This window comes from Homo sapiens, chromosome X, assembly GCF_000001405.40.
Source record: "Homo sapiens chromosome X, GRCh38.p14 Primary Assembly".
Lineage (NCBI taxonomy): Eukaryota > Metazoa > Chordata > Mammalia > Primates > Hominidae > Homo > Homo sapiens.
The window spans coordinates 94,523,142-94,548,290 of record NC_000023.11 but is presented as its reverse complement, the minus strand read 5'-3'; the positions used below and the strand labels follow the sequence as shown (position 1 = coordinate 94,548,290).

Here is a 25,149-nt window from a genome sequence, read left to right as displayed (position 1 = left end):
ATATATGCAAAGGAAGCAAGGAAATTTGCTTGAGATAAAATTTTGAAAGACCATAATGCTAGACTAAAAGCTGAGAATTTTATTATGTAGGCAACAAAAAGCACATATTTTGATACTTTTAAGTTTTGATTATCTGCTACTGTTGCCACTAGATACAGTTGACTAATTCCTCATTCAATTTCCCACATTTATTAGCTCACAGGATATCTCTTTTCTTAGTTCTCTTTTAACTTACTTTGTCACTCCTTCATGAAGACTGCCTTATGGGTACCTTTTTCTCCATCTGACCTGTAAGTGATACTATTACCTATGGCCCCATAATCAATGTTCTGGATTTTTAGCTTCTCTCTTCCCCTGAAGAATCACATCTGCCTTTATGGTTTCAATTATGTCAATAAATTGATGGCTCCTTAAGCTTAGCTCAAACTCTGATGTCTTCTCATCTTTAGATTCAAGTTCAATTCAATGTATGTCTCTACGTGCATGTCCCATAGCCATCTAAAACTCCATATCTAGAAAATTCAAATCACCCCATTTCTGTCTTTTTCTAAATGTTCTCCCTCTTCTATACTCACTATATCACTGAATGTCATCTTCCTAGTTGCTAAAACCCCAAAGAAAGCTTTTATTTCTGCCTTTTTCTTCTCCTTTTCCTCGCTACCAAATCCTGTGGCTTTGTCCTTACTGGTACTTTAATACAACTCTTCTTTCTATTTTTATTTTAACAAAACATGCTATTACTACTTCCTTCTTATGCTCAATGTTTTCAATATTTTAATACAGAGCTAAGGTATTCATTTGCCTTGATAACCTTCTCTGTCACTGCATATCTGAGTTAATGGTTTTCCCTGAGTGGCCCCACAGAATTCCTTGTTTACCTTTATCATACCCTTTCAGAATGTGCTGTATTTGTTTACATGCCTTTCTGCTTCTTTATACAAAGTAATCCTTGAAGGTAGAAAATACATCTTTTATCATATTTCTTCCTTGCCAACAACATGTACAAAGTAGCCAACATATAAATATTTGTTGGATGAAGATTTAATGGACGAATAAGTTGAAGATTTTAGAGAAAGACGTAAAATGTTCACAAGATATGCTACATATAGCTATTTGATAAGTGTATTCTTGACAAACTTTAGATGTAAAGTGCTTAAAGTGAAAAGACTGAAAAATCTGAGCTCTTAGAGCACTATATATACGTAGTCATTGTATCACATTTGTCTTAGTCTGTTTTGTTCTGTTATACCCTGTTATGGCACAGACTGGGTAATTTATTTAAAAAAAATTCATTATTCTCAATTCTGAAGACTGGGGAGTCCGAGATTAAGCCACCAGCATCTGGTGAGGCATCTCTCTGCCTCCAAAATGGTACCTTATTGCTGCATCCTCTGAAGGAAACTAATCCTGTGTCCTCACATGGCAGAAAGACAAAAGAGAGTTAACCCACTCTCACAAACCCTTCTCATAGTGGCATTCATCCATTCATGAGAACAGAGCCCTAATAACCTAAAAACTTTTCATGAGTCTCTCCTTCCCAACACTGTTGCATTGAGGATTAAGTTTTCGACACATGCATTTTAGAAGACACCTTTATACCATAGTAAACTGGTATTGTAATATTTGTTATTATGATTATGTACTTTCCCAGACCTTATACTCCCATGTCTATGTGTGATTCGTTCCTGTCTTTTATGCCAGTACCAATATTTAATATTTATTAGAAATTTAAATGCTGTCTGATCAAATAAAGTTAAAATTTAGAAGAGGTTGAAGAGAGAGAGAAGTATATATTATGAACAGAGCTGAGGTATGGAGAGCAGAACTAAGAGGTTTTAATAATCTATATGAATACTAGAGATGAATGTATAGCATTATTAGACTCGGACTGTTAAGATTAAGATAAAAAATACCTGTGATAATAAAAAGATGTCTGGTATTGTTAGAGGCAAAAGTGACTTGGGGGAAATTTCAAATTATGTTTCGAATGTACAGGAAAATAAAGGCTTTGATTATTGATTTGAAGTTCAAGGCACTAGGAAGAAGATATGGTGTTTAGAGTTAAGATTACAATATAAATGGCAAAAAAGTAAAGTAATGGTTGCTAGGATGTTAGGGGAAAGAGGAAACAAATGGGAAAACAAAGATTACTCTGTGTAAAGAAGAAGGGCAAATAAGCAAAGTATCTCTGTTTCCTCTTTCCCCTAACACCCTGGCAACCACTACTTTACTTTCTGTTATTAAAGACTTGCCTATTCTGGATATTCCACATAAATTGTCTCATACCGTGCCTGGCAATCTGTATCTTGTCTAGTTTCTTACACAGCATAATGTTTCAAATATTTATTCATGTTGTAGCATGCGTCAGCACTTCATTATTTCTTTTTGAGATATGATGTAACTATTCTGGAATTAGTAGTGATGATTGCACAACATTGTGAATACACTATAAACCACTCAACTGTATAATTTTAAAAGGTGGAATTTTATCATATGCAATTTATATCTCAATATAAAAATGAAAGAACACTCAATAATTTTGGTCTACTATAATCATTTCACTGTATGACTTGTAGATGCATTAATCTAGTTAAGTTTAAAAAGATAATGAGAAGTTAAAAACTTATATTTAGAATGTAATTATGTAGAATGAAAACATATGTTTGAAATTTTGGATACTATTTATATAAAATAGTAGTAATCAAAAAGAAATTGATGACTGATTCTAAATGAATTTCTATTATTGTTTTTCTGGTTAACTTTTACTTATCATATTTATTATTACTACATATAGATAAAACACCTCAACTTCTAGGAAAGCTCAATGGCCCCCACCAAGCCATTAGGAGAAAGGGTTTGCCATATGTGAAAGGCTAAGGAATATAGTGTAACAATTTGTAGGGACTTTTGAATGAGGAGAAAATTAATAATAATTTTGCTTTCTGAGTTGCCTCTCTTTTCAATTCCTGTCTAGTAAATATTTTGTTTTAAATTTCAGTAAATAAAATAAGTGGCAAAAAAAGGCCAAAAGGAGCCACTGCTACTCTCTGAAGGCTTTACAAACCCTCCGATAGATTTTATGCCAAAGAAATAGACTGAGTCCTTGAGATTAGAGTTTAGCTCACTAGGGTAGTGGACATTTGCCTGGAATACCATCTGTAGCTATATCCCTTGAAAACCTTATGAGATCAGCAATATATTTAAGCAGCTGCTCAGGATTTGCATGTCTTTGATGCATGTAATATTATTAACTTTACTGGCTAAATATGGAATTAATTCATTCTTTCTCACCGTACTTTCCAGAAAATAGTAATAGATTTTATTTCTTTTTTTTCCATCTTTTCCTGTTTTTCCTTCCTTCCTTCCTTCCTTGCTTCCTTCCTTCCTTCCTTCTTTCCTTCCCTTCCCTTCCCCTTCCCTTCTCCTTCCTTCCTTTCCTTCCTTCTTTCTTTCCTCTTCTTTCTTTTTTATTTTCTTAGAAAGAAACACATAATAGTGTCTTATGAACAGAAGCCACAGTGCCTTATGAACAGAAGCCATATCTGTGTTCAGACACTGGCCAGAAAAGACGGTGGGTCCCCACGGATGATTTTCTTAGTATCTGAAAATCTTTTCTTTTGGATGAAATATAGTAAGTTCTACTAGATTGGTAACAATAGAATGTATGAAGAATTACAAGCTCTCTGTGCATGTGTTTATGTATTTCTGTGTGCGTTGGTACATTAAGGGTTGAGAGGTTTCTATATTTTCAATGCTCAAAGTCTCTCCTGTGAAGAAATCAGAATAAGAAGTAGCACTTCACTTTCCTCTTCAAGTCAATTAATGCTGAGTTTTTGAGTCAAGCAACTTTTCTGAAGTTTGGAGCCTAATTTTACTTTAATTTTATCAAGCACGTTAGGTAAATAATTCTTAATAGCATTTTATCTTTATAGCAAGTCATCCACAATCAAAAGAGGTAAACCAAAGGTATGCATTACCAGTTAAGCCATCTAAATATATTTTTATTCGAGTGATGGCAGTTTTAAATATCTTTCAGAAAGACAGAATAATACAAAACCCTTGAGGCTAGAAACAGCTATTAAACTGTTATCTTCCATTCAGACCTCAAATAATTTTCCATAAAATGAGGTCCCAGAGGAAAGGGAACATAACTAGAAAGATTAGAAGATGAAAAAAACTGTCAGGAAGTTCTAGATTCTAGAGCACAGGTGGATTGGTGCAGAAATGGTAAAGCTAGGTACATTTACTGCAAGCACCATGATAATACTGGACTCAGGGGAAGTAAAAAAGGGAATATCAAGCATAGAAAACCTAGTTTTTACTAGGGTTCTTCTTGGCTTACAGATTTGTTTGTATTTCATTATTAGATACTCAAGCATAGTTTCTGGTAAATGTGAATGAGAATAACATTTAGAAAATTAGAAGCAGCTTTTATAATCAGGATGCTCGTTTAATAAGGATTAGTATATTTTAATCTTGATTTTAACATGCTTCATATGTGTGAGGTGTGCCATTGTGATTAATATTTTTGCCTGACAAAATATACAGCAATTTCTATATTTGACAACAGACTGTTTCTTTCTATTTAATTAACACATCTTTCATAACCTACAATATGTTTTATTTGTGTTGGCACAGTTCTTTCCAATATTTTTCTGCCAGTCATTTTCTATTCATAAGAAAAAGGAAACAAGTAAAGACGTACATTTGTTACAGATTATCATGGTAAAAACATTACAATGTAACAGTAGAAAATCAATGTTATGAATGCATTTAAAGGAGTATAACATTGTAAAAAGAACGTAGTGGCTAGGGCTTCAGGGAAATTGAACTAATATAATTCTGCTGCATTGATTTGTCACCATACATATTATTTTAACACAGCTGTCTACTTGAATATTTATAGTTTTTTAATGTACTTTCAGAAACAGCTAAACCATTCCAAAATCTAATTCTATGTCTTTCTAAAGTAAACGTGAAGATTAAGCTTAATCCTCTGAAGTTTAAAATATCAGATTTCAAACATTAGATTTCAGAAAAATGTATAATGAATTTTACAAGTGGCACTGGTTAAAAACTAACAACAATCTCAATGCAGCACCTTATGCATATTATTAATTCTATTTCTAAATATTATAAAATACTCCACATCTTTTCACCAATTCTTCTAATACTGAAGTGATTTCTGAAAATTAAAAAAAAATAAACAAATAATGAATTCATATTTTAATTTTTTCCAGTGATGTTCTTTCTTGTGGGTAAGAAAATAACAGGACTCACAAATTTCCAACAACCCCATGCTGTCATTCTAATGAGATATTGCGTTATTTTCTAGATAAGCTTGTCATGATGAAAAGAATAGACTGGGGCTTTTATCAAGACAGTACCACCAGCAGCCTGATTTATGTCAATGGGTTCAAAAATAAAACTCTGGGAGAAGGAGAACAAAGGAAAGAGATGAATAAACATAGATGAATAGAATATAACAGGGCAAGATAAAATCATCCTAGTGAAACACTGATCACATATTTATATTAATCCTCATTAGACACTCTAAGGTATTGCTTTGCTAAAAGCAAACAAAAAGCAAAACTTTTTAAAACTCACTTTTAATGTTCACCGTTCAAACAAACCATATTAGACAGCCTTAGATTTCAAGTAAAAAGACATTTATTCATTTGAGAGTTGTTGTCTTCGTTGTTTAACTCAAGTTTAGACAACAATATAATCAATAAATTAGTTGAAAACTTCTCCTTGAGACATAAAATAAATACTTTTTTAAAGTTATATTTCTTGCTACGTATATGAGAGAATACCACTCGTGTGACTGTGTTAGTCAAGTCTTCCCTAAAATCTGAGATTGTTTTTGAATTCATGATTCATCCTCAAAGTCTCATATTTGGAAAGATTATAACTCTTAGAATGCATGCTATTTTCTTAGAAAGACAGAACATGACTACTTCCATTTTATATTTAGACAATAAGCACTTCTTGAAAATTAATGTTTTAAAAAAGATTTATGTAATTCACTGTATACAGTGAATTACACTGTATACCGCAGTATTGGGATTTCAAATTAAGTAGTTATTCGAAGCCAAAGAAAATCTAAAGTATTACATACACACAATTCTGTAGTCATGCTTGCGTGTGTGTAATAGAAGTGAAACACATTACATACTACATAGTATTGAATTTTATTGTTTTAACAGTTCCCATTCATATCTACTTTAGTTACTTTTCTTTCTATGATTCACAAAATATGTGATTTATTAAGTGAATAATGTCAAAAAACAAAGTTTCTATTTCTCCTTAAAATTTTGCCATGCAAATGCTGGTCTAGTCATTTTTATTATAAATGTTCAACATTTATTTAATATACTAGACATACATATTTCACTAACATAATATTAAGGCATAGAGTTAGTGAATGAACATGTAAAAAACAATGCTTATATTTTTATGATTTGATTTAAATTCCTTCCCTAATATTTTCACTTGAATTTCTACCTAGAAGTGTTATTGCTGATCCATCAGATATATGGTTTGCAAATACTTTGTCTCAGTCTGTGGGTTGCCTCTTTATTCTGTTGTTTCCTATGCTGTGCAGAAGCATTTTATTTTGATGTATCCCATTTGTCTGTTTTTGCTTATATTGCCCATATTTGGTTCACATCCATGAAATCATTGCCAGACCAATGTTGTGGAGCTTTTCCTCTGTGCTTTCTTCTAGTAGTTTTACAGTTTCAGATCTTATGCGTAAGTTGTTAATAAATTATGAGTTGACTTTTGTATGCAGTTTGAGATAAGGGTCCAATTTTACCTGTTTGCTTGTGGATATATGGTTTTCCCATTAAAATTTTTGAACAAAACTATCCTTTTCACATTGTGTGTTTTTGGCAGCTATGTCAAAAATCAGTTGATTATAAATGCATGCATTTATTTCTGGACATTATATCCTGAACAACGTGTTTCTTTTTGTGCAAGTGCCATGCTGTTTTGATTATAATATTTTTGTAATATATTTTGAAATAATGTAGTGTGCTATCTCTAGCTTTGTTCTTTTCCTCAAGATTGCTTTAGCTATTTGAGCTCTTTTTTGGTTCAATATGAATTTCAGGGTTTTTTTCCTATTGATGTGAAATATAATTTGAATTTGATAGGGATTGCATTTAATCTGTATATAGCTTTGGGTAAAATGGAACATTTTAACAATATTAATAATTCCTATTCATAAACATAGCATGTCTTATCATTTACTTGTGTTATTCTCAATTTCTTTCATCAATGATTTAGAGGTTTTAATATACACATAGTTTACCATCTTGGTTAAATTTACTTTTCAGTATTTTATACTTCTAATACTAGTATGAATAAGATTGTTTTCTTAAATACTTTCCTTTGAATAATTTGTTGTTGGTGTATAGAAACTCTACTGACTTTTGCACATTGAATTTGTATTTTACAACCTTGCTGAATTCAGTAATCAGTAATCACAGTTATTGGTAGAGTCTTTGTTTTTTTAATATAAAATTATGATGTCCAAAAGCAGAGAATTTAACCTCTTCTTCTCTAATTTGGATCTGTTTCTTTCTTTTTCTATTCCGTAAATGCTCTGGCAGTACTATGTTGAACAAAAGTGGCAAGGGTGGAAATCCTTGTGTTATTCCTGATCTTAATAAAAAAACTTTCAATTTTTGACTATGAAGAATAATGTTTAATGTGGGCTTGTCATATATGTTCTTTATTGTTCGAGGCATATTCCCTCTATCCTAACTTGTTGAGAGTTTTTATCATGAAAGGATGTGGAATTTTGTCTAATGATTTTTTTTGCCTCTATTGAGATGATAATGTGGCTTTTGTCTTTTATTTTGTTAATATGATGTATTATATTCGTTGATTTGTGTATATTGAATGTCCTTGCATCCCAGAGATAAATCTCACTTGATAATGGTGAATCATCCTTTTAACATGATTTTGAATTTTCTTTGTTAGAATTTAGTTGAGACTTTTTGCATGAGAATTCATCAGAGATATCTGCTTATATATTTTTTTTCTTATAGTATCCTTGTCTGGCTTTGGTATCAGGGTAATGCTGGCCTTGTAAAATAAGTTTTAAAGTATTCTCTCATCTTCATTTTTTTGAATGAGTTTGAGAACCATTGGCATTCAGTCTTTTAAAAATATCTGGTAAAATTCAGCCATGAAGCTGTTAGGTCTTAAGCTGTTCTTTAACGGGAGACTTTTTATTATTAATGCAATCTTTTACTCAGTATTAATCTGTTCAGATTTTTTATTTCTGCATGATTTTGTCTTTGTAGGTTATAAGTTTCTGGGAATTTATTCATTTCTTCCAAATTATCAAATTTGTGGGCATATGGTGATTTGTAGTACAGTTGACTCTAAAACAACATGGGTTTGAACTGTGTGGGTCCACTTATATACAGATTTTCTTCTGCCTCTGCTACCCCTGAGACAGCAAGACCAACTTCCTTCTTCCTCCACTTCTTCAGTATACTCATTGTGAAGGTGATTAAGATAAAGACCTGTATGATATTCAACTTACACTTAATGAAAAGTGACTATATTTTGTCTTCCTTATGACTTTCTAGTTCTAGAGCTGTAACATTAGATTGTTTATGTTTTTTCCTCTTTATCGATGTAGGCTTTTATTGCTATATAGTTCCCTCTTCAAAATCTTTTTGCCACATCCAATATGTTTTGTTAAGTTTTCTTTCTATTTTTGTTTATCTCATGAAATTTTGAAATTTATCTTTTAATACATTTGAGAAGAAAATGGATTGTGTGGCTGTTGGATGGAACATTCCACGTATGTTTGTCAGATTCATTTGTTCTAAAGTGTAGTTCATCGAATGTTTCTTTATTGGTTTCCTGTCTAGATGATCTATCTATTGTTAAAATTGGGAAGTTGAAGTCTCCTGCTATAATTGTATTGCAGTCTAACTCTCCCTTCAGATATTTAAAGATTTGGTTTATACTTTAGGTGCTGTGATTTTGAGTACGTATATATTTTTATAATTGTTATCTCCTGTTGATGAATTGATACCTTTATTATTATAAAATGTCCTGATCTCTTTTTTACAGTTGTTGACTTAAAGTCTATTTATCTGATATAAGTATAGCTACACCTGCACTTGTTTTGTTTCCTATTAGCATGGAATAAATTTTTTATTCTTTCACTTTCATTCTAAGTATGCCCTTAAAGGTGAAGTGAGTCTCGTGTAGGCAGTATAAAGTCGGGTCTTGTTTTTGTTGTTACCCTTTCTGTCACTCATGTCTTTTGATTTAAAAAATAATTTATTTGTATTCAAATTAATTATGTATAGGCAAGAACCTACTAGTGCCATTTGCTTAATTGTTTTCTAGTTGATTTGTACACCCTCTGTTCCTTTCCTTCTCTCTTGCTATCTCCCATTGTGATTTGATGATTTACTGTAGTGTTACACTTTGAAACTTTTCATGTTTTGTGTATCTACTATAGGTTTTTGTTGATGACTACCATGAGGCTTAAGTAAAACATCTTATGCTTGTAACAGGCTATTCTAAGTTTATAATAACTTAATTTTAATTACATGAACAAACTTAACACTTCACTTCTTCTTCCAATTTGTGTTTTCAATATCTTAACATATATTTCTATAATTTGTATGTGTTAACACACTATTATAGCTACAATTATTATTAATTGTTTTGTCTTTTAATCTTTATACCAGAGGTATAACTGATCTACAAGCCATCATTACAGTATGAGTATTCTTAATCTAAATATGTATTTATTTTAACATATATTTTAATATGTTGTTATGTTACTGGCTAGGGTTCTGCTTCTTAGGCTTTAAGAACTCACTTTAACATTTATTATAAGGGAGATCTAGTGGTGATAATCATCTTCAGCATTTGTTTGTATGTGAAAGTGATATGGTTTTGTTCTGTCCCTACCCAAATCTCATCTTGAATTGTAGTTCCCATAATCCCACATGTCATGGTGGGGACCTGGTGGGAGGTAATTGAATCATAGGGGTGGTTACCCTCATACTATTCTAGGGATAGTGAGTGAATTCTTACAAGACTTGAGGGTTTTATAAGGGCTTTCCCTGCTCTTCACTAATTTTTCTTCTTCCTGCCGCCATGTGAAGAAGAATGTGTTTGCTTCCCCTTCCACCATGATTGTAAGTTTCCTCAGGCCTCACCAGCCCTGTGAAATTTTGAGTCAATTAAACCTCTTTTCTTTATAATTTGCCCAGTCGTGGGCAGTTCTTTATGGCAGTGTGAGAACAGACTAATACAGAAAGTTTTTCCCTCTCATTTATTTTTATGTTTTTATTTTTATTTAATATGACTTTTGACTAAAAGCTTGCTAATTTTATTTTAATTTTTAAGTCCATTGCCTCAAGCATTTATCCTTTCAGTTACAAAAAAATCTAATTACAATCTTTAAGTTATTTTAAAATGCACAATTAAGTAATTATTGAATATAATCACCCTGTTGTGCTAACAAATAGTAGGTTTATTCATTCTTTCTATTTCTTTAGTAGAGATTAACCATCTCCACCTTCCTCAAAACCCACAATACGCATCCCAGCCACTGGTAACTATTCTTCTACTCTCTATGTCCATGAGTTCAACTGCTTTGATTTTTAGATCACACAAGTAAGTGAGAACATGTGACATATGTCTTTCTGTACGTGGCTTATTTCACTTAATATAAAGATCTCCAGTTCCATCCATGTTGTTGCAAATGACTGGATCTCATTCTTTCTTATTGCTGAATGATACTACATTGTGTATATTTACCAAATTTTCTTTATCCACTTATCTGTTTATGGACACTTACATTGTTTCCAAATCATAGCTGTTGTGAAGAGTGCTGCAACAACAACAACAACAAAAAGAAGTGCAGATAACTTTTTGATATACTGATTTCTTTTGTTTGGGATATATAATCAGCAGTGGGATTGCTGAATCAAATGATAGCTCAATTTTTGAGGTTTTTGAGGAACTCCAAGCTGTTGGAGCTGGTGAGAGTTTAATTATTAAATGACTTGAGGTAGTCTTCTTTCTATTAAATTTGCTTGGTGTTCTATAACTTTCTTGTACTTGGATATTGATATATTTCCCTAGGTTTGCAAAGTTCTCTGTTATTATCCATTCGAGTAAACTTTCTACCCATATCTCTTTGTCTATATCCTCTTAACTCCCAATAAATCTTTTTTTCTCTCTTTATTTCTTGTAAAAAAAAAAAATGAAATAGATGTGCAGAATGTGCAGGTTTGTTACATAGGTATACGTGTGCCATGCTGGTTTGCTGCACCTATTGACCTGTCCTCTAACTTCCCTCCCCTCAGCCCCCACCCCGCAACAGGTCCTGGTGTTTATTGTTCCCCTCTCTGTGTCCATGTGTTCTCAATATTCAGCTCCCACTTATGAGTGAGAACATGCGGTGTTTGGTTTTATGTTCCTGTGTTAGTTTGCTGAGGATGATGACTTCCAGCTTCATCCATGTCCCTGCAAAGAACATGATCTCATTCTTTTTTTATGGCTACGTAGCAGTCCATGGTGTATATGTACCACATTTTCTTTATCCAGTCTATCATTTTTGGGCATTTGGGTTAGTTCCATTTCTTTGTTATTGTAAATAGTGCTGCAATAAACATACGTGTGCATGTGTCTTTATAGTAGAATGATTTACATTCCTTTGGGTATATACCCAGTAATGGGATTGCTGGGCAAATGGTATTTTTGGTTCTAGATCCGTGAAGAATTGCCATACCATCTTCCACAATTCCTGAACTTATTGGCATTCCCAACAACTGTCTAAAAGCATTCCTATTTCTCCACAGCCTTGCCAGCATCTGTGGTTTCCAGACTTTTTAATAATTGCCATTCTGACTGGCATGAGATGGGATCTCACTGTGGTTTTGATGTGCATTTCTCTAGTGATCAGTTATGTTGAGCTTTTTTTTTCTATGTTTGTTGACTGCTTGAATGTCTTCTTTTGAGAAGTGTCTGTTCATATCATTTGCCCACTTTTTAATGGGGTTGTTTGTTTTCTTGTAAATATGCTTAAGTTTCTTATAAATTCTGCATATTATATCTTTGTCAGATGGGTAGATTGCAAAAATTTTCTCCCATTCTGTAGGTTGCCTTTTAACCTGATGATAGTTTCTTTTGCTCTGCAGAAGCTCCTTCTTTTAATGAGAATACATTTGTCAATTTTGGCTTTTGTTGAGAAGGTCAGATAGTCGTAGATGTGCAGTGTTGTTTCTGAGGTCTCTGTTCTGCTCCATTGGTCTGTATGTCTGTTTTGGTACCAGTACCATGCTCTTTTGGTTGCTGTAGCCTTGTAGTATAGTTTGAAGTCAGGTAGCATGATGCCTCCAGCTTTGTTCTTTTTGCTTAGGATTGTCTTGGCTATATGGGGTTTTCTTTAATTCCATATGAAATTAAAAAGTTTTTTTTTAAATTTTATTATTATTGTACTTTAAGTTTTAGGGTACATGTGCACAACGTGCAGGTTTGTTACATATGTATACATGTGCCATGTTGGTGTGCTGCATCCATTAACTCATCATTTAACATTAGGTATATCTCCTAATGCTATCCCTCCCCCCTCCCCCACCCCACAACAGGCCCTGGTGTGTGATGTTCCCCTTCCTGTGTCCATGTGTTCTCATTGTTCAATTCCCACCTATGAGTGAGAGCATGTGGTGTTTGGTTTTCTGTCCTTGCGATAGTTTCCTCAGAATGATGGTTTCCAGCTTCATCCATGTCCCTAGAAAGGACATGAACTCATCATTTTTTATGGCTGCATAGTATTCCATGGTGTATATGTACCACATTTTCTTAATCCAGTCTATCATTGATGGACATTTGGGTTGGTTCCAAGTCTTTGCTATTGTGAATAGTGCCGCAATAAACATACACGTGCATGTGTCTTTATAGCAACATGATTTATAATCCTTTGGGTATATACCCAGTAATGGCATGGCTGGGTCAAATGGTATTTCTAGTTCTAGATCCCTGAGGAATCGCCACACTGACTTCCACAAGGGTTGAACTAGTTTACAGTCCCACCAACAGTGTAAAAGTGTTCCTATTTCTCCACATCCTCTCCAGCACCTGTTGTTTCCTGACTTTTTAATGATTGCCATTCTAACTGGTGTGAGATGATATCTCGTCATGGTTTTGATTTGCATTTCTCTGATGGCCAGTGATGGTGAGCATTTTTTCATGTGTTTTTTGGCTGCATAAATGTCTTCTTTTGAGAAGAGTCTGTTCATAACCTTTGCCCACCTTTTGATGAGGTTGTTTGTTTTTTTCTTGTAAATTTGTTTGAGTTCATTGTAGATTCTGGATATTAGCCCTTTGACAGATGGGTAGATAGCAAAAATTTTTTCCCATTCTGTAGGTTGCCTGTTCACTCTGATGGTAGTTTCTTTTGCTGTGCAAAAGCTCTTTAGTTTAATTAGATCCCATTTGTCAATTTTGGCTTTTGTTGCCATTGCTTTTGGTGTTTTAGACATGAAGTCCTTGCCCATGCCTATGTCCTGAATGGTATTGCCTAGGTTTTCTTTTAGGGTTTTTATGGTTTTAGGTCTAACATTTAAGTCTTTAATCCATCTTGAATTCATTTTTGTATAAGGTGTAAGGAACTGGCTAGCCATATGTAGAAAACTGAAACTGGATCCGTTCCTTACACCTTATACAAAAATTAATTCAAGATGGATTAAAAAGTTTTTTTCTAATTCTGTGAAGAATGCCAACAGTAGTTTGATGGAAATAGTATTGAAACTATAAATTACTTTGGGCAGTATGGCCATTTTTATGTTATTGATTCTTCCTATCCATGAGGATGGAATGTTTTTCCATTTGTGTCCTCTCTTATTTCCTTGAGCAGTGGTTTGTAGTTCTCCTTGAAGAGGTGCTTCACATCCCTTGTTAGTGGTATTCCAAGGTATTTGATTTTCTTTGTAGCAATTGTGAAGGGAGTTCCTTCATGATTTGGCTGTCTGCTTGCCTATTGTTGGTGTAAAGGAATGCTTATAATTTTTGCACATTGATTTTGTGTCCGGAGACTTTGCTCAAGTTGTTTATCAGTTCAAGAAGTTTTTTGGGCTGAGATGATGGGGTTTTCTAAATATAAACTCATGTCATCCACAAACAGAGACAATTTGACTTTCTCTCTTCCTACCTGAATATGATTTATTTATTTCTCTTGCTTGATTGCCCTGGCCAGCACTTCCAATACTATCATGAATAGGAGTGGGGAGAGAGGGCATCCTCGTCTTGTACCAGTTTTCAGAGGGAATGCTTTCAGATTTTGCCCATTAAATATGATACTGGCTGTTGGTTTGCCATAAATAGCTCTTATAATTTTGAGATATGTTCCATCAATACCAAGCTCATTGAGTTTTTAAAATGAAGAGATGTTGAATTTTATCAAAGGCCTTTTCTTCATCTACTGAGATAATCATGTGTTTTTATCTTTGGTCCTGTATATGTGGTGGTTTACATTTATTGATTTGCATATGTTGAACCAGCCTTGCATCCCAGGGATGATGCTAACTTGATCATGGTGGATAAGCTTTTTGATGTGTTGCTGGATTCGGCTTGCCAGTATTTTAACAAGGATTTTTGCATCGATGTACATCAGGGATATTGTCCTGAAGTTTTCTTTTTTGTTGTTTTTGTGTCTCTTCCCGGTTTCGGGATCAGGATAATGCTGGCTTCCTAAAATGAGTTAGGAAGGAGTACCTCCTTTTTAATTGTTTGGAATAGTTTCAGAAGGAATGGTGCCAGCTTCACTTTGTATTTCTGGTAGAATTCAGCTGTGAATCTTTCTGGTTCTGGGCATTTTTTGGTTGATATACTATTAATTACTGCCATTGGTCTATTCAGAGATTTGACTTCTTCCTGGTTTAGTCTTTGTAGGGTGTATGCATCCAGGAATTTATCCATTTCTTCTGGATTTTCTAGTTTATTTGTGTAGAGGTGTTTATAGTATTCTCTGATGGTAGTTTGTATTTCTGTGGGGTCAGTGGTGATATTTCCTTTATCATTTTTCTATTGTGCCTATTTGATTCTTCACATTTTTCTTCTTTATTAATCTAGCTAGGAGTCTATCTATTTTCTTAATTTTTTCAAAAAACCATCTCCTGGATTCACTGATTTTTTTGAGGTTTTTTTTGCATCTCTACCTCTTTCAATTCTGCTCTGACTTTAGTTATTTCTTATCTTCTTTTGGATTAGTTTGTTCTTGTTTCTCTAGCTCTTTCCATTGTGATGTTAGGGTGTCCATTTGAGACCTTTCTAGCTTTCTGATGTGGACATTTAGTGCTATAAATTTTCCTCTTAATACTGCTTTAACTGTGTCTCAGAAATTCTGGTACATTTTCTCTTTATTCTCATTGGTTTCAAAGAACTTCTTGATTTCTACTTTAATTTCATTCTTTACCCAGTAGTCATTCAGGAGCAGGTTGTTCAATTCCCATGTAATTGTGTGGCATTGAGTGAGTTTCTTAATCCTGAGTTCTAATTTGAATGCACTCTGGTCTAAGAGACTGCTCGTTATGATTTCAGTTATTTTGCATTTGCTGGGGAGTGTTTTACTTCCAATTATGTGGTCAATTTTACAATAAGTGCCATGTGGCACTGAGACAAATGTATATTCTATTGATTTGAAATAAAGACTTCTGTAGATGTCTATTAGGTCCACTTGATCCAGAGCTGAGATCAAGTCCTGAATATCCTTGTTCATTTTCTGTCTCATTGACTGTCTAATACTGACAGTGGGGTGTTAAAGTCTCACACTATTATTGTGTGGGAGACTAAGTCTCTTTGTCAGTCTCTAAGAACTTGTTTTATGAATCTGGGTACTCCTGTATTGGGTGCATATATATTCAGAATAGTTCACTCTTCTTGTTAAATTGTTCCCTTTACCATGAGGTAATGCCCTTCTTTGTCTTTTTTTATCTTTGTTGGTTTAAAGTCTGTTTTGTCAGAGACTAGGATTGCAACTCCTACTTTTTATTTTATTTTTTTTTTTGCTTTTCAATTTCTTTTTTAATTTTCCTTCATCCCTTTACTTTGATCCTGTGTGTGTCTTTGCACATAAAATGGGCCTGTTGAATACAGAACACTGATGAATCTTGACTCCCTATGCAATTTGCCAGTCTGTGTTTTTTGACTGGGGTATGTAGTCTATTTACATATAAGGTTAGTATTGTTATGTGTGAATTTGATCCTGTCATCATGATGCTGTCTGGTTATTTTGCACACTAGTTGATGCAGTTTCTTCATAGTGTCATTGGTCTTTATATTTTGGTTTGTTTTTGCAGTGGCTGGTACCAGTTTTACCCTTCAGTATTTAGTACTTCTTTCAGCAGTTCTTGCAGGGCAGGCATGTTGGTAACAAAGTCTCTCAGCATTTGCTTGTCTGGAAAGGATTTTATTTATCCTTCACTTATAAAGCTTAGATTGGCTGGATATGAAATTCTGGGTTGAAAATTATTTTCTTAAAGAATGTTAAATATTGGCCCTCAATCTCTTCCAGCTTGTAGGGTTTCTGCTAAGAGGTCCACTTGTAGTCTGATGGGCTTCCCTTTGCCTGTGACCTGGCCTTACTCTCTGGCTGCCCTTAACATTTTTTTCTTCTAAAACCTGCTCCTTAACTCATTATAGTTTTTTATTACCCAACTTCTGGAGCCTACTTCTGTCAACTTGTCCATCTGATCCTCCATCCAGTTCTGTGCCCTTGATGGAGAGACGTTGTCATCATTTGGGGGAGAAAAGGCGCTCTGGTCTTTTAGGTTTTCAGCATTTATTCCTGATTCTTTCTCATCTTCGTGAGTTTGTCTAGTTTTGGTATTTGATGCTGCCGACCCTTTGATGGAGTTTTTGTTGGGACATTTTTGTTGTTCTTGTTCATGCTGTTGTTATCGCTTTCTGCTTGTTTTTCTTTCAATAGTCAGGTCCCTCTTCTGTAGGGCTGTTGCAGTTTGTTGGGGGTTCACTTCAGGCCTTATTCACCTGATTCGCTCCTGTACCTGGAGATGTCACTAAAGGAGGCTGGAGAGCAGCAAAGATGGGTACCTGCTCTTTTTTCTGGGACCTCTGACCTCAAGGGGCACCAAACTGATGCCAGTAGAATTGCTCCTGTATAGGGTGCCTGACAACTCCTGTTGGAGGGTCTCACCCAGTTGGGTGGCATGGGGAGCAGGACCCATTTAATGAAGCACTTTGTCCTTTGGTGGAGAGGCTGTGTTTTGCTGGGAGGGAAACCCACTCATCTTCATTGCCCAGATTCCTCAGAACTACCAGGAGTAGAGGCTAAGTCTGCTGGTCCACAGAGATTTCAGCCACTCCTCCTCCTAGGGGCTCAGGCCTAGGGAGATCCAAATTCTGTTCCTGAGACTCTGGCTGGAATTATTGGAGATCCTGCAGGGAAGCACCACCCACTGAGGAAGGATGGGTCAGCGTTAGACCTGAAGAGGCACTCTGGCTGCAGACTCCCACAGCTGGTGTGTTGGGCTGTGGGAGCAAGTCTTGGGACCAAGCTGTCCAGCATCCCTGGCTCCAACAGGGAAAAAGTGTAGCCTGGAGCTATAAAAATGGGTGCCACCCTTCTCTTGCCCAGGGAGCTTAGCATGTTAGGCAATTGCAAGTCCCAGTGCTGGCTGCTGCCCCTCCCCCAAGGGGCTCAAATGGCTTAGCAGGCAGCCACAGACAGTGCTGGTCACCCCCCAACCCAGGAGTTTGGTAGGCTTAAGCAGATTCCTGCTGAGAGGCTGTGAGAATCTGCATGTTCCAGGGTTAGGACACTAGGCCCCGGTTGCATGCATTTATGAGTGGGATCTCCTGATCCATGGGTTGCACAGTTCCAGGGAAAAATCAGTTTTCTTGGCTGGGTAGCACGCTTACTCACCACCTCCCTTGGGTGGGGGAAGGGTGTTCCCCTTCCCCATGTTGCTCTCAGGTGGGTTGCCACATCACAATGCTCTTCCTTCTCTCCTTGGGTCATACCAGCCTTCTAGTCAATTTTGATGATAGAACCTGGATGCCTTGGTTGCCAGTGAAGGATTCACATGCTTACTGTGTTTTTTCCTATGCGAGCCTCCAAACAGCACTGCTTCTAGTCAGCCATCTTGGCCCCACCCCTAGCCCAATAACTCAGAATTGCTCTTTTGAGGATATTTTCTAGATCGTGTAGGCGTGCTTCATTTTTTTAATTATTCTTTTTTTTTTGTCTCCTCTGACTGTGTGTTTTCAAATAGCCTGCCTTCAAGCTCACTGTTTCTTTCTTCTGCTTGATTGATTCTGCTATTAAAGGAATCTAATGCATTCTTCAGTATGCCAGTTGCACTTTCCAGCTGTAGAATTTTTGCTTAATTTATTTTAATTGTTTTAATCTATTTGTTATATTTATCTGATAGAATTCTGAACTTTTTCCCTGTGTTATCTTAAATTTCTTCGAGTTTCTTCAACACAGCTATTTTGAATTCTCTCTCTGAAAGGTCACATATTTCTGTTTCTCCAAGATTGGTCACTGGTGCTTTATTTAGTTTTTTTGATGAGGTCACCTTCTCCTGGCTGGTATTGATGCTAGTAGATGTTTTTTAATGTCTGGGCATTGAGGAGTTAGATATTTATTGTAGACTTTGCTGTGTGGGATTATTTGTACCTGTCTTTCTTAGAAAGGCTTTCCTAATGCATAAAAGAAGTTGGGTTTTGTAATCTAAACTATATATATATATATATATATATATATATATTTTTTTTTTTTTTTTTTAGATGGAGTCTCGCTCTGTCACCCAGGCTGGAGTGCAGTGCAGTGGTGCGAACTCGGCTCATTGCTGGATCTTACGGTAGGTGGAGATGAGAAACTTGTTGGGAACTGGAATAAAGGTGATCCTTGCTATGCTATAGCAAAGAGACTCACAGCATTTTTCCCCTGCCCTAGAGATCCGTGGAACTTTGAACTTGAGAGAAATGATTTAGGGTATCTGGCAGAAGAATTTTTTTTCCCCTTTCACTTGGTCCTCATCCCCTCTTGCCTGCTGCCATGTAAGACATGCCTTTCACCTTCCACCATGATTGTGAGGCCTCCTCACTCACGTGGAACTGTGAGTCCATTAAGCTCCTCTTTCCTTAATAAATTACCCAGTCCTGGCTATGCCTTTATTAGCAGCATGAGAAAAAACTAATACATTATATATCTGATGAGGAGCTAATATTTAAAATATATAAATAAATGACACAACTCACTCAATAGAAAGAATAGAAATAGTGCCATTATAAATGAACAATGGAATTGAATAGAAATTTTTTCCAAAGAGATATAAAAATGGTCAACAAGTATATGAAAAGATGTTCAACATGACTAATTTTCAGGGAAATGCAAATCAAAATCACAATGAGATACTGTTTCACACTTACTAGAATGTCTATTATCAAAAAGACAAGAGATAAGTATTGGTGAGGATATGGGAAAAAGAAAATTCTTGAACACTGTTGGACTAAATGTAAAATGGTACAGCCATTATAGAAAACAGCATGTTGGTGATTTTTATGTTCATTTTCCTCAAAAAATATTTAAAAAGAACTACCATAAGATCCAGCAACCTCTCTGCTGGGTATAACTCAAAGAATATAAAATATGGACTTTGTAGAGACATGTGAACTTCCATGTTCATTGCAATATTAAGCTCAATAGCCAAGATATTGGGATCAAGGGAAGTACTCATGGAAAGGTAAATATTTAAAGAAATTGTAATATATATACACAATACCATACTACTAACTTTAAAAAAGGAGATATTGCCATTTGTGACAAATTGGTGAACATGGAGGATATTATGTTATTTAAAATAAGCCAGGCATAGAAAGAAAAATACTGCAGGATTTCAATTATATTTCAAATCTAAATAAAAGTTAATATATAGAAATAGAGAGTATATTAGTGATTATTAGAAACAGGGATGGACAGAAAATGGAAAAAAATTGACATTGCAATAAAGATATCTGAAAATGTGGAAGTGACTTTGGAACTGGGTATTGGGCAGTGGTTGGATCAGTTTAGAGGGCCCAGAAGAAGAGAGAAATATAAGGGAGAGTTTGGAGCTTCCTGGGGACTAGCTAAATCATTGTGACCAAAATGCTGATAGTGATATGAACAGTGAAGTCCAGGCTGAGAGGATATCAGATGAAAAAGAGGAACTTATTGGGAGCTAGAGTAAAGGTCACTCTTGCTATCCTTTAGCAAAGAGACTGGTGGCATTGTGCCCCTGCTCTAAGAAGCTGTGAAACTTTGAACATGAGAGAGATGATTTACAAAATCTTGCAGAAAAAAATTCTAAGCAGCAAAGCATTCAAGATGTGGCCTGGATACTTCTAACAGTGTACACTCAGAGGAGGTCACAAATAGATTTTCTGATGAAACTTATATTTAAAAAGAAAGCAGAGCAGAAAAGTTTGGAGAATTTACAGCCTGATCATGTGGTAGGAAAAAAAAATACTGGGGAAGAATTTAAGGCTGCACAAACTTGCATAAGTAAAAATAAGCCAAATGTTAATAGCCCAAGACAATAGGGAAAACGCCTCCAGGGAATTTCAGAGAACTTTGTGGCAGCCCCTCCTATTACAGGCCTAAATGCCTAGAAGGGAAATAGTTGTTTCATGGACCAGACTCAGGACCCTGCTACACTGTGCAGCCTCAAGACATAGTGCCCTGTGTCCTAGCCATTCCAGCTTCTTCTGTCACTAAAAGGTGCCAAGGTACAAGTCAGGCCATTGCATCAGAGAGAGCATGTCCCAAGTCTTGCTGGCTTCCATGTGGTGTTGGGCTTGCAGATGCAAAGATGTCAAGGGTTGAATTTTGGAAGCCTCTGCCTAGATTTCAGAGGATGTATAAAAACACCTGGATGTCCAGGCAGAAATCTTCTGCAGGGTTGGATCCTTCATGGAGAACCTCTATTAGGTCAGTGTGGAGAGGAAATGAGGTCAAAGCCCCCACACACAGTCCCTACTTGGGGACTGCCTAGTGGACCTATGAGAAAAGGGCCACCATTCTGCAAACCCTAGAATGATAACTCCAGCAGGTGCACTGTGCACCTGGAATAGCTGCAAGCACTCAAAGTCAATCCATAATAGCAGTGGTGGGGGCGGTAACCTGCAGACCCACAGGGGAGGAGCTGTTCAAGGCCTTGGGGGCCCAACCCTTGCATCAGTGTGGCCTGGATGTGAGACATGGAGTCAAAGGAGATTATTTTGAAGCTTTAAGATTTAATGACTACCCTACTGGGCTTCAGACCTGCATGGGGACTGTAGCCTCTTTGTTTTGGCCTATCCATCTATTTTGGAACAGGAGCATTTACGCAATGCCTGTATCCTCATTGTATCTGAAAGTAACCAACTTGTTTTTTGTTTGTTTGTTTGTTTGAATTTTACTGGCTCATAGGCAGAAGGGACTTGCCTGGCCTCAGATGAGACTTTGGACTTGGACTTTTGGGTTAATGCTGGAACGAGTTAAAACTTTGGGGCATGATTGGTTTTGAAAAGTGAGAAAGACATGAGATTTGGGAGGGGCAGGGATGGAATAATATGGTTTGGTTTGGTATCCCCACTTCAATATTATGTTTAATTGTAATCCCCAATGTTGGGGGAAGGACCTGGTGGGAGGTGATTTGATTATGGGGGTAGATTTCCCCTTTGCTATTTTCATGATAGTGAGTGAGTTCTAATAAAATCTGGTTGTTTAAAAGTGTGAAGCACTCTCCCCACCCCGCTGGTCATGTGAAGATGTGCTTGCTTCCCTTTTGCCTTCAACCATGGTTGTAAGTTTTCTGAGGCCTCCCCAGCCATGCTTCCTATACCTCCTGCATAACTGTGAGTCAATTGAACCCCTTTTCTTTATAAATTACTCAGTCTCATGTAGTTATTTAGAGCAACATGAGAACAAACGAATACATTCTTCTTTTGAGAACTGTCTATTTAGATACTTTGCCCGCTTCTTAATGAGAATTCTTGGTTTTGTTTCATTTTGTTTTACTGTTAAGCTGTTTAAATTTTTGGTATATTCTGGATATTAATCCCTTGTCAGATTAAAATTTTAAAAATGTATTCTACCATTTAATAGGTTTTCTCTTCATCCTGTTGATATTTTCCTTTGCCATACAGAAACTTTTTAGTTTAATATAGTCTGATTTTTCTATTTTTTTAATGCCTGTGCCTTTGAGTTCTTAGTCATAAAATCTTTGCCTAGGCCAATTATTTATTTTGGTTTTATGTTTAAGTCTTTAATTAATTTTGAGTTGATCTTTGTATGTAGTGAAATATGGGTATCTAGTTTCATTCTTCTGCATACAAATATTTCATTTTCACAGAACCATACATACACTGTCCTTCCTTCCATGTACGTTCTTTGCACCTTTACAAAAGATGAGTTCATTGTAAGTGCATTAATTTATTTCTGTGTTCATTATTATGTCCTATTTTTCTATGTGTTGTTTTATAATGTTGTTTTCTATGCGTTGTTTTGTTGCTGCGACTTTGTGACATATGTTCAAGTCAGGTAGTGTGATGCCTCCAGTTCTGTTTATTTTGCTTAAGATAGCTTTGGCTATTTAGGGTCTGTTCAGGTTCCATATAAATTTTCTACCTTCTTTTTCTATTTCTGTGAAAAAATGGCATTGGTATTTTGATAGGCATTGCATTGAATCTGTAGATTGCTTTGAGTAGTATAGTTATTTTAACAATGTTAATTAGTCCAATCCATGAGCATGGAATGTCTTTCTATTGATTTGTTTTCTCTTTAATTTCTTTCAACAGAGTTTTGTAGGTTTCCTTAGAGAGGTTTTCTACCTTCTTGATTAAATGTATTCCTAGGTATTTCTTTTTGGTTAAAATTATCCCTAGGTTTTTAATTTAATTTAATTTAATTTAATTATTTTATTTTATAGCTAGTGTGGCCCTTGGATGACATACTTGGGCACTGGGGCTTGGGTAAACCTCAGCTTGGCAGACCTGACCTCAGGATCCCCAGTGGTGCACGCTGGTGCTGGTTGTGGTAAGCCTGCCTGGGTCAGGTAATTTCCAGGCTCATTGTAGAATGCTTAGGTGGGAGGAGCAGTGGTTGTGTTATGGCTCTGCTGCTGGGGAGGGCAAGGTTGATTTCAGTGACAGCATCTAAAAACAGGCAGCTGAGGAGTGCATGCTTGGACCCCTAGTGGCAGCTAAAAGCAAGGCAGCCTCTCCTCAGGGTGCTTTAAAATATGTGGTGGCCCTGCTACCAGGAGTCACTACCAAGGGTTCATGCTTCAGCCCTGGGAGTAGCAGCCAGCATTCTCTCTCAGGTAATCTATTCAAATTGTGACCATCTACATTTAGATATCTTCTTTGTAAAGGGGGTAAGTAATAGATGCTTCTAGTCGCCCTTCTTAAATCCCATGTCAAGCCCATTTTCATTAAAATTACTGATAAGTAAGGATTTACTATTGCCATTTTGTTATCTGTTTTTTATTTGTCTTGTGATTGCTTTGTCCCTCGTAGCTTTTTTTGCTATCTCATTTTGTGTTTTGGTGCTTTTCCTTTTGCATTACTAGGTTTTGATTCTTGTATTTTATTTTCTTTGTGTAACTACAGTAACTATTTTATTTGTTGTTATCAAGGGGCTTAAATAAATTATATTATGGTTACAAGTTAACTTTAAGCTGATAACAGCATAACTTTTCTTGCATTCAGACTTTGTTCTTTTACATCTATTTTACTTACAGTGTGTTCTGTTTATGTCAGAATTTTCAACTCTGTATTGTGTGTATCCACTATATAATTTAGTTATAGTTGTTTTAATATTTTTGTCTTTCGGCTTTTATAGTAGGATTACAATAGATTCATTCACCACTTTTATAACACTAAATTTTTTTCATCGATATTTTTTCATTTGCCAACCAGTGTCACACTTTCTTTTGCTCTCATGTTGCTGTTTTCTATCTTGTCATTTCAACTTGATGAACTTCATGTAGCACTTTTTGTAAGGCAGGTCTAGTGGTGATAAATTCCTTCAGCTGTTGTCTGTGAAAGTTTTTATCTCTCCTTAATTAATAAAGAACATGTTTGCTGGTACAGTATTCTTGGTTGATAGGGTTGTTTTTCTTCTGTCAGCACTTTGAATATATTATCTCACTTTTTTCTAACCTGTATTATTTCTACTGAAAAACCTGCAGATCATATTATGAATCTTCCCTTGTGTTTAATAGATCACTTTTCTTTTGCTACTTTCAGAATTATCTTTTTGACTTTAATTTTTCCCAATTTTATTATAATGTGTCTTAGTATCAGTCACTTTGGATTCATCTTTGGATTCCTGGACGTGAATTTCTATTTTTTTTTCAGGTTTGGACAGTTTCCAGCCATAATTTATTTGAATACTTTTTTCTGTTTTTTTCTTTTTCTCTTCTCTTCTTTTTCTGAGACTTGAAATTGCTTATATTAGTGTACTTGATGATGTCTCGTAAGTCCCCTAGGCTTTCTTTACTTTTCAAATTTTTTGCTCTCAGATTAAATGATTTCTAATAACCTGTTTTTGAGTTCACTGTTCCTTTCTTCTACTTGATTTAATCTGATATGGAATTCCTCTATTTATTTTTAAGTTATGTTATTGTGTCCTTCAGCTGTTTGAGTTCTTTATATTTTTATATTACCTATCCCTTTGTTGAAATTATTAGTTGGTTCATGCTTTGCTCTTCTGAGTTCAGTAAGCATAGCTATAAGCATTCTTTTGAATTATCTGTTGGGTAAATTATACCATTGATGGTTAATACTGAGTGTCAATTTGATTGGATTGAAGGAGGCAAAGTATTGATCCTGAGTGTGTCGGTGAGGGTGTTGCCAAAAAACAATTAACATGTTAGTCAGTGGGCTGGGAAAGGCAGACCCACCCTTAATCTGGGTGGGCACCATATAATCAACTACCCGTGCAGCTAGAATATAAAGAGGGAGAAAAACATGAAAAGGATAGACTAGCCTAGACTTCCCACCTACATGTTTCTCCCATGGTAGATGCTTCCTGCCCTCAAACACTGGACTCCAAGTTCTTCAGTTTTGGGACTCAGACTGGCTCTCCTTACTCCTCAGCTT

General features: G+C 35.5%; 1 long non-coding RNA gene across 2 annotated transcripts in view; it reads left to right on the top strand.

The window, feature by feature from the left end:
- The window catches only part of LOC107985704 (uncharacterized), a 76,931-nt gene extending 52,035 nt beyond the window's left edge, over window positions 1-24,896 (top strand). The window contains exons 2-6 of one of the 2 annotated variants that reach the window (XR_001755915.2): window positions 3,480-3,571; window positions 18,808-18,881; window positions 21,777-21,848; window positions 22,398-22,463; window positions 22,974-24,896. This is a non-coding gene — a long non-coding RNA (uncharacterized LOC107985704). Of the gene's footprint in view, window positions 1-3,479; window positions 3,572-18,807; window positions 18,882-21,776; window positions 21,849-22,397; window positions 22,647-22,973 lie in introns of those variants that run through there. The other variant, XR_001755914.2, reaches the window with a different exon arrangement.
- The last annotated feature ends 253 nt before the right edge of the window (window positions 24,897-25,149 follow it).